This window comes from Homo sapiens, chromosome Y (assembly GCF_000001405.40).
Source record: "Homo sapiens chromosome Y, GRCh38.p14 Primary Assembly".
Classification (NCBI taxonomy): domain Eukaryota; kingdom Metazoa; phylum Chordata; class Mammalia; order Primates; family Hominidae; genus Homo; species Homo sapiens.
The window spans coordinates 24,902,077-24,912,600 of record NC_000024.10 but is presented as its reverse complement, the minus strand read 5'-3'; the positions used below and the strand labels follow the sequence as shown (position 1 = coordinate 24,912,600).

At 36.2% G+C, this 10,524-nt stretch overlaps 1 protein-coding gene across 3 annotated transcripts in view; it reads right to left on the bottom strand.

Annotated features, from left to right (window-relative positions):
- Positions 1-5,560: 5,560 nt before the first annotated feature.
- The window catches only part of DAZ4 (deleted in azoospermia 4), a 73,221-nt gene continuing 68,257 nt past the window's right edge, over positions 5,561-10,524 (bottom strand). For all 3 annotated transcript variants that reach the window (NM_001005375.3, NM_020420.4, NM_001388484.1), the window contains one exon: positions 5,561-7,417. The gene's annotated coding sequence lies outside the window, so the exon portion shown is untranslated. The remainder of the gene's footprint in view (positions 7,418-10,524) is intronic.

The window sequence follows — 10,524 nt, the reverse complement described above, 5'->3', positions numbered from 1 at the left end:
TCTACAGATTTCATGCAATCCCCGTGAAAATGCCAAATACTTCTTCATAGAAATTAGAAAAAAAAATCATAAAATTCTATGGAACCACAAAAGACTCCAAGTAGCGAAAGCAATACTGAGTCAAAAGAATAAAGCTGAAGGCATCACGCTAGCGAATTTCAAAATGTACTGCAAAACTGTAGGAGTAACAAAAACAGCATGGCATGTTGAAGAGATCTCTGCACTCTCACGTTTATTGCAGTACTGTTCACAATATCCAAGATTTGGAACCAGCCTAAGTATCCGTCAACAGATGAATGCATAAAGAAAATGTGGTACATCTACACAATGGAGTACTATTGAGCCGTTAAAAAGGATGAGGTCCGGTCATTTGCAGCAACACGGATGGAACCAAGGACATTATTTTAAGTGAAATAAACCAGGCACAGAAAGACAAATGTCTTTATTCTCACTCATATGTGGGAGCCAAAATAATTGATCTCATGGAGGTAAAGTGTAGAACAGTAGTTAACAGAGGCTATAGAGAGTGAGTGTTGGGGTTGGGGGACGGGAATTAAGGGAGGTTGTTTACTGGATACAAAAATACAGTTAGAAGGAATAAGTTCTAGTGTTTGACAGCACAGGAGGGTGACTATAGTTAACAATAATTTATTGTGTAGTTCCAAATAGGTAGAAAATGCTCCCCACACAAAGAAATGATAAATGTTTGAGGTGATGGATATCCCAGTTACCCTGTTTTGATCACCACACATTGCATGGAAGCATGAAATTGTCACAGATATCCCATAAATGTGTATAATTATTATGTATTAGTAAAAATATTTCTGTATTTTGATTTGGAGAGTCTGCTATCTATGAGATAGTATAAAAAGCAATGGCCCAGATGTCAAGTCTCAGTTTCTTATTTATCTGAATCCCAGGGTGTGTAAATTTAAGAAAATCACACCTAAAACCTAGACATGTCTAGCACTTCAAAGGAGTTGACGAAGACCAAACGAAATCATATATACGAAGTAGCTCTGAAAACCCTAAAATCCTATACAAATTTCAGGGAGTATGCATGTGATGAGAAGAATGGGATATGAAATCCTGCCTGCCACCTCCAGCATTTCATGAAGGAAAAACAGAAATTGTGCTTAGGGAATGCTGGCCTATGTACCATTATTTCACTCATTTGTTAGTGTTCTACTCATTCAAGGCCCTCTCAGAAAAAAGGGAACTATTCTAGAAAATATCCTGAAGAGCCTAGCATAATGAGCTGTTTCCTACTACCAAAGAAGATACGCAAAAGACTACATTTCAGGACACAGTCATTCACCAAACCATGGCTGCTCTATACACAGACCACGTGGGAAGTTCTAGTTACTGAAATGTAAAGGCTGCAGAAAACTTAGGTGGGTTTGAGTGGGATGCAGGTGGGTAGATCTGTGGATGGGAAGCTAACCACATTGATGTGTTGCCCCAAATAATCTCATAGTAACACTATAAAGTAGATACTAGTATTGTTGTTTTACAGAGGAGGAAACCAAGACTCAGTGAGAAGCTCGTCCAAGCTTACTCAGGAAGTATTTGGGGCTGGGATTTAAAGTTCACTCTTTTTTATGACATTCTAGTACCTAAGTGATCAGAGGCATTTAACAATGTTCGTAGGAGCATAGTTTGTAACAGCAATCAACGAATCAACACAATTTACATTTAAAATTTTAAAACAAAAAATAAAAGTCAATTGTCCCCCAGCAAGGGAAATAACAAACCGTAAAATATTCAACTGATACAACTAAAAAGCAGTGAAAATAAATAGAATCTCCCAGTCAACACGGATGAGTCTAACAATGTGCCAAAAAAAAAAAAAAAAAAATAGTTTCAGTATATGTTCTCTTAAAGTTCAAAATATTGTGAAAAGAAACATTTTATTCAGCAGATGATTAAACCAAAATTCAATTTAGGTGGTTTCTTCTTCTTGGGGAGGAAGAGGGTGTGATCAGGGAGGGCATATTTTTTAATTAATGAAATGTTCTATTTCTCAAGCCAACTTGGGTATTTATTATTCTTTAAATAAATATTTTTATACTTTTGAGTGAACTAAATGTGAAATTTTAAAACACAGACATATACAAAAAGAATATGGATATCAAATGCCTAAGGCTGTCTCTGGAACTTGATCTCAACATATTTTTTTGATATTGATCTGTTATTATCATTCTTGCTTAAAGGTGTTAAGAGGTATTAGTTAATTCCACAGCAGGAAAAGGAGCAATGACAGGCCATACTTTTCTAAAAACCATGGGTAATACTATTTGTAAAGTGTGTCAAGTGAGTCAAAGGCATAGTTCTTCACTCCAGGAGGCAAACACAGTGTCTCTGTCCCCAGGATATCCACTCTGCCCTTTCCCACTCGAGCCTAGTCCCTCACCCTTGGCTTGCCTGCTCTTGGCCTTGGAATCCAGCTTTGCCTCTGTAGTCACTCCCTCCTGTCACTGATTTCTGGCCACAAGTCTTGGTTTTCAAACTTTCTATTCAATCTATTTCAGCCCATTCATGAGTCACTCTTGCCTGTGGACAGCTGGCATTCCCAGGCACGGGCTTGGCAGGGAAAGATGAATTCGGTGAATTAAGCCAACGGAATCCTTTATGAAAGTCATAGTTGACCTGACAGGGCTGTTTCTATCCTAAATCCAGGGGTAGCTTGAGATGATCTAATGAGAGCTCCCCAACTGAGGCCATATTTCTCAAAGTATGTTACAGTGGTCAGAATCACCTGGGGCACATGTTAAAAATGCAGATTACTGGGCCCATCCAGAGCATTAGAATAAGAGCATCTGAGAATGGGGCCCAGGATTTGGCTTCTGAAAAACACCCCTTATGATAGCTCTGATGCTCTTTGACTTCCCTGTAAAATTGGTATCTTGAGGAAACGTGCCCTATCGAATACTGCGCTGATCTAAACATGGACACAACTTTGGATGGTGAGCATATCGGTTTGTCAAAGACCCATCACCAACCAAAATGATGAGCAACAACCAAGTCATGTTCAGGAAAAAAAAAAAAAAAAAAGTGCAGGTCACGCTTTCCTCAATATAGTGGGTTTACTGCTTAAACACTGTTCAGATTTTACTCACAGTGAAGCTGCTCCAACACCAGGTAGGGGATCAGCATAGGTAAAAACAAGGAGAAAAATGTCCTCTGCCTTTTAAATTACCTCTCTCCATTCTTATGGGCCTAGTCAGATTTATGGAGGGTGTGAAGGAGGCGGGAAGAGTCCTATCAAAATTTTTAAACAAATGTACAAGGGCAGAGGGGACACGTCCACTTAAACAGCTGGCCTGGCTGTATCATTATCAACTGCCTTTCTTCTGGAGTTTCATCTAAGATTGAGCCAGAATGGAGTGTGTCTCTATCCATGTTATTTTGGGCAAAGACAATAGATGTGATTAGAACCTTAGTGTATTTTTGTTATTCTATAAAAAGATCTGATTGAGGGTTATGAAACCTCCAATTTTCCAAAGTGCTTAAAATGTTACTATTGCTTCAAATTTATAAGGAGTGTTCATGACCTGAATATCCCAGTCATGCAAGTATTTGTTCTATTGTTAAAGACCTAGTGAACCGGTATCTTGAAGTTTCATGTGGAAAAGACCTAGTGAACCGGCATCTTGAAGTTTCATGTGGAATTCCTGGCATGCAGCATTAATGAAGGTGCACGTAAGATACAAAGCCTTGTCTTGGGAAAACGAACTACAGACTTAACTAGAGAACTGTTTCAGACCAGTTAAAAACGTAAAATACAGCGACCATAGAGTTTAATTGTACAGTGGTAGAGTGGTAGTTTCAACTTCTGTACCAAGAGACAATTTTTTTTTTTTTTTTTTTTTTGCGTTTACTTAGGATTGGCCCACAGCTACATCCATACTGGACAGATGTTTTTAACTCTAAATGCAATGTTGAATTGTCTATTATTTCTTTGCTATGCAGATTATCTTGCATGAGCATTCAAAAACATGTTTATAGTTTGAACTTCTTATGTCTATTGTTTTCTACTACAAAATGTACTGTCTACAGATGGAAAGTTCTGTCTTTGGTGAGTGGCAAGGAATTGCTCACAACAATCAGTTACATACAGAGACATACTACACATGTTGGGAAGGGATAGATTACACTTATCAAAATATGTACAGGAGCAATCCTTATCTAGGGATTCCAAATGATCATACTCAATAGCTGGCCCATTCACAAGACTTGGTCAATGTAAAATACTGCTACTTTTTTCTCCCTTATGTTTCCCCACTTTCTCTATTGGCATCTTTGTGAAAGCAAGGTGGCACGCTGCCTTATCGTTGCTGCTCCTCATTACCCTCAACTGACAGCAAGGAAAGCAGGCAAGGCGATTAAGCAATGTGGCAGCCCATTTTTATCAGTTTACCTTTAAAAAAAAGCCAAGAAAAATTTAGTGAAGAGGGGGCTAGAGGTGCTTTATAACGAGAGGGAAATGCTGTGGAGTATTTATTTTTAAGAGTCAATGACTTCCTTGCCAGACAGGTACTACCAATTCTGAAGTTATTTTGAATTAAAGGTAATCTGATTTTAGAAAAAGAAAAAAACCAACATGCAGAATACACTTAAGGAAGTGACCAACCTTTTTAGAGCTGCTTGATTTCACCATAACTTGAACTTTTTACAAAAAAGTGCTTAACTGTTATTTTTCAATTCCAAAGATTTTTGTGGTAATAATTTAATAGGAAACTAGAAACAAGCTGGTGTAAAGCAACTATCTTAAACCATATGTAGTCTAGTTTTGGGGTCTGAAAATACTGAAAACCTACTAGCTTGATCAGCTAGAACCAAATATTCTGGATAATCGTTAGTATGTACATAACCATAAATATATGCATATATAGACACATATGTACACATATATACACATAGGCACATAAAAGAATTACTAATTTTTTGCCTATTATTGGACACTAAACATCACAATTTAATCTTTGGTGATGCAGAAAGCACTGTTTGCTATCCTGCGTATCCTTGGAGTCAACTTTCTGGTTATGAATCAGCAAGCTTACTAACTAATGAAATACGTGTCTGAGGAGTTTCCTCTCCACTGGACTCAGCTTATAGAACTGAGTACTAACACTAAAGCTAGAAGAAGCGGTACTGATTTTTTTTTTTATGGTATCCACAGGAAGTACCTGCAATATAAAAAAATTAAGCTCCCTTAGGCAACTGCAATACCCCGAAATAAATGATCTAGAGACTAGGCCCAAAGTGTACAGTAGACAAAATGCTTCATAGGGTCCAAAATGTGAGGGACCTTAGCCGTGAGATAGCAGAGTCGGATGTGTTCATCAGCATTCCTAGTCTGCACTGCTGTTGATGCACCTCTTAAACTTATCTTTGTACCTACATTTGCTTTTATGGGCTAACTCAGACAGATTAGTATACTGAACTTTATACTTCTGCATTTTAAGAATCTAAAGCTTGTTATACGAATTTAAACCTTGTTACACAGTTCCCACGCAACTCCCCACCATTTTACATTATTACATCGGAAAGCCAAAAACACATTTGAAGAAAAAAAGTTTATTTTTATTCATTTATGCAAAGACAGTATCAGCAATAGGTAGTAGGAACATTTTTCTCAGTTTAGAATTAATTTTCCATTTTGAAAGGGACTTAATATCTTCTTTACCTTACTCTATTAAATACTTCAACAAAGACAAAAATTTATTCCTTTACTTTTCCTTAAGGTCATATCGGAATAATTAGAATTAACTCTTTAGAATGTAGGTATCATTTACAGAAATCTGGAGATTTAATCACAGAATGATGTATGTCGGAATGTTAAAAGCACTAAAAAAACTATGGATAATTTTTTAATGGACAAAGTCATGGTGCTTTCAATTTCTGAGGTGTAATAAAGCCTTCTTGGGAATTCTAAAGTTTAAAGACTGTATCCTTCGGATTCCGAATGAAAATTTTGAGAAATCATAGACCCCAGTGGGCATTAGTAATATGGCCCATAGTAACGACATTAACTTAGAGTCTCCACGTTTTAGGGAAGAAGCCATTGAAAGAAGGGCCAGAAAGCCACTTTAAACACATGTCCATGGCAGATCAAATGATACTGATACAAATGTTTCCCTTAGAAAGGTATTATATCCCATTGCTACCATTCCACGGCTTGGCCTTTGAACTGCTCATACAGCTACTTCCATTCTTTACATCACCAGTTCTAAGAGCAAACCTCCTGAAAGACTAGTAAAAGAGGCTGGGAAAACAAGACTGTGAGTATAGCAAAAGGGCTCTGGTGCTCTAGCTGTGTGGTCACAATATAAAATGAGGACACTACCTAATCTAGAAACAACATGCCTCTTCTGGACATATTTTATTTTACAGAAGGAAATATAACAGGCTAAAAAACAAAAATAAAAATCTATTTATAGCAAGTAACTAATACTTCAATGTTTTTATAAAAACAATTCCTTTCAGATACTCCGATTAACCTTTGAGTGACATAAAAAAGCTGCAGCGTTCTTTAATACCAGTATTTTGCAAATTTCACATACAGCCATTAAGTTTAGCATTTCAAGGAACAATTTTTTTTATAAAAAAGAATGGTAACTCATTGAGAAGGTTATATACCCAGTAAAGTTTAGTTTGTCTTGGATTCTTTAAAAAATTAGGCCCAGAATTTTAGTTATCCTAACTACTATCCCAATCAAATTGGACATACATATGTGGATTCTAGATAAAAGATAAAATACTTTGAATAAACATTATGACTCACTGATTGGACTGTTTGCTTAGAATCTGTTTTACTGGGTTTGGATAAGACTTCAATAAAGCTAACTATACATTGAGTTCCACTGATTAAAAATGCAGTTTTAAAAATTCTGCTTTTGAGGTAAATTTCTAGATAAATCATAAATGCAAAGCTCAATACTGAAATATTGTACTGTTCACAGGTACTTCTTGGAGAAGTGAAATGCTTGTGTTCAGACTATCAAAATTGTTAGCTTTCAAATCAGGTTTTAAAAACTTTTTTGAAAGTCAGTATTTGCTTTTAAACACTTAAAATGCAAGTTTCAATTTTTTAAAAATCCTTGCAGATAAATCTTAACATTCTTTCAGTCTCGATTATTTGTTACTTTAAACTATATATTAAACACAGAACCAGGTTCTAAATAAACATCTAATGAAGAACAGTTTCAGTGTTAAGATAAAACTAGAGAGTCTAATAATACAAGTTATACAGAAAGTTTCAGTGTGATTTACCAAAATTCAGAATTTCTGTAATAGTGGAAAACTTTTAGCTTAATATTCAAAACCAGCAACTTCCCATGAAACTAGATAGCTGAGAGGATCCAACAGATTTAAATACTGCCAAACTTCTTCTAAAGCGATGCACTCTTTTACCCTGGAAAAGACAGAAATAGTCCTTTTATTTTACTGAAAATTTCTGATGACTACTATGGATCTGAAAGTTGTCAAAACTTAAACCATTTGTTTTGGGTTTAAACATTATAAATAATGAGAAAAAAAGATGATTCTTTTCAGGAAGCATATTTGAACACTGGGATAACAAATGTACCAAGATGGCTAGTTTTATTAAACAGTTAAAAAAAGAAATCAATAATTAAATAAAACAAATTCCAGTAAACTGAGAAATAAAAGGACTTAAACTCAGTATCATTTTATGTACTTCTTAGTTAATAATTTTGCAGTAATGTCCCAAAGACAGCTGGTAGAAAATGTAATTGTAAAGAATACTTTTTTCACTAATTGAACTGCATTTAATACCAACTACAGCTTGCGAACTGCTCTCCAATCTGAAATTTCGTGTTTTTAGATTAAAATATGTAAGTTTTGGCATTTGAAGAACATATCATTAACCTGTGAAGACATATCATTCTTTAGAAAGGAAGATAAAACTTTAAAATACATGCAAAACTTTCTTTTCACTCTATGTTGCCTGCAGACGTGCAGAGAGAAGTGAGAGGTCTTACAAGGAGGAATGGGAATGAGTGAACGAGTAATAACATTTCCTTTTCTACAAAGCTGTGCCCTTTTTTTAAGACTTCAGTTTCATTTTCATATAAATAAAAGTGGCTTCTGGAAGTTACCTCATCTGTCAAAAGAGTGATAATCAATTTAGGTTAAAATCTAGAAAACTGGTCACCAACATGTATATTCAGAGGTCATGTAGGAAACAAGATTGTGAAAGGGCTAGATAACTAAGACAATGAAGAGAAATCGGCTATGGAAATTGTAAATACATTCAAAAATATCTCAGGCATTCTAATTCAATATAACAACGTGCAGTCAATTAAAATAGGTCTAAATGTCAGACAACTGCAGGATGCCAACTTCTGATTCCTCTCCCAAATAAGCAGAAAACTCTGGAAGTTTCAAAGCGAGTCTTTTGTCTACCACCAGGTGAGAACTCAAGTTTAAAAAAATATTTTCTGGGCTGGACATGGTGGCATACGCCTGTAATCCCAGCACTTTGGGAGGCTGAGGCAGGAGGATCACTTGAGCCCAGGAGTTCAAGACGAGCCAGGGCAATATAGTAAGATTCTCTCTTAAAAAAAAATCTTTTGGCTGGGCACGGTGGCTCACACCTGTAATCCCAGCAATTTGGGAGGCCGAGGCGGGCAGATCACAAGGTCAGGAGATCGAGACCATCCTGGCTAACACGATGAAACCCCATCTCTACTAAAAACACAAAAAATTAGCTGGGCGTGGTGGCAGGCACCTGTAGTCCCAGCCACTCGGGAGGCTGAGGCAGGAGAATGGCATGAACCTGGGAGGCAGAACTTGCAGTGAGCCAAGATCGCACCACTGCACTCCAACCTGGGTGACACAGTGGGACTCTGTCTCAAAAAAAAAAAAAAAAATTTCTTTTTAACTAGCTAAGTGTGGTGGTGCACGTCTGTCGTCCTATTTGGGACGCTGAGGCAGAAGGATCCCTTGAGTGCAGGAGTTTGAGGTTGTAGTAAGCTGTGATTGCGACACTGCACTCCAGCCTGGATGACCAAATGAGGTCACCTCAAAAAAAAAAAAAAGAAAGAAAGAAAGAAACACAAAAAACTATCTTCTGCTTTGAAAATCACTTAAGTACTACTGTAGACACCAATGTAATCAGAATTTTCGGCAAGATAAGCTGATGTACAATTCCAGTTCTTTCTTTTCTAAATTGTACTATCTATATAGAACGAAGCAACAAGAGAACAAATGTCAAATTTAAATATATTTACTCCATGTTGCAAAGATGTTAAGAACTTAATTCTGCTATCTGGCTCTACTCTTCTACATTATACAGAAGATTCATAATATAACCCTTTAAAAAGGCTTAGGCTTCATCCCATATCCATTCACAGACAAAAATAAGCTAGTTCTGTTGTAAGACACAAAGTGATGGTTAAACATTTTCTTTTGAATGTAAAGTGTGTAGCCAGTTTTGACAAATCTGGCAGTTCCACTAAAGGTTAAATATGACTTAGCAATTCCATTCCCAAGTATATACGCAAGAGAGGTAAGCACGTATGTCCCCACAGTAACTTGTACATGAATGTTCACAGCATTAGTTATAACAGCTAAAAAGTGGAAATAATCCAAATGTCTTTAACAGATGAATGCATAAACAGAATAAGGTAATATCTACAAATAAAAAGAAATGATTAAGTTCTGATACGTGCTAGAATATTGATGAACCTTACAAACATTATGCTGAGTGAAAAAATCCAGTCACAAAATGCCACATCATTATGTATGATTCCATATACAAGAAATCTCCAGGACAGGAAAATCCTTAGAGGAAAAAAGTAAATTAGTGTTTGCCTAGGGATACACACAAGTTCCAGGAAAATAGCAGGTGACTGCTAAGGTACGGGGGTGATTTTTGAGGTGATTTAAGTATTCTAAAATTGATTGTGGACATGGTTGCACAACTTTGAATATATGAAAAAACAGTGAAGTGCACATTTTAAATACATAAATTGTATTACTGGTATTATTTTAATAAAATTGTTATTTAAAAAACACCTTCCCTTTATTAACCATAATATTTTTCTCCCACCGGACTGACCAAGTTAGTTCTTTTTCGTATTTATAGACTTAGAACCACAGGGACCCAGAAACCTTTAGTCCTGTACCTTCTCATTTTAGACTTGTAAGAATTAGAGCCTTAATAAAAGATTTATCTATCCAACATGGATAGAAAGTGGGATCAGAAGTCAGATCTTTCTGGAATTCAACTAGCCACATTCTCTTCCGCTTCACCAACTCTGAATCAACCTCTCTTTCTACTCAACTTTTTACTGCTTCATTTTACCCCTTTTCTCCCTTCACACTGTTCAGGTGTATCATCTGAGTAAATCATTTCTTTTCTTCTCTTTAGTCCAATATGCATGTATTAAGTTCTACTTTTTTTTTTTTTTTTTTTTTTTTTTTTTTTTTTTTTGAGACAAGGTCTCTCACTCTGTTGCCCAGGCTGGACTACAACGGCACAATCATGGCTCAGTG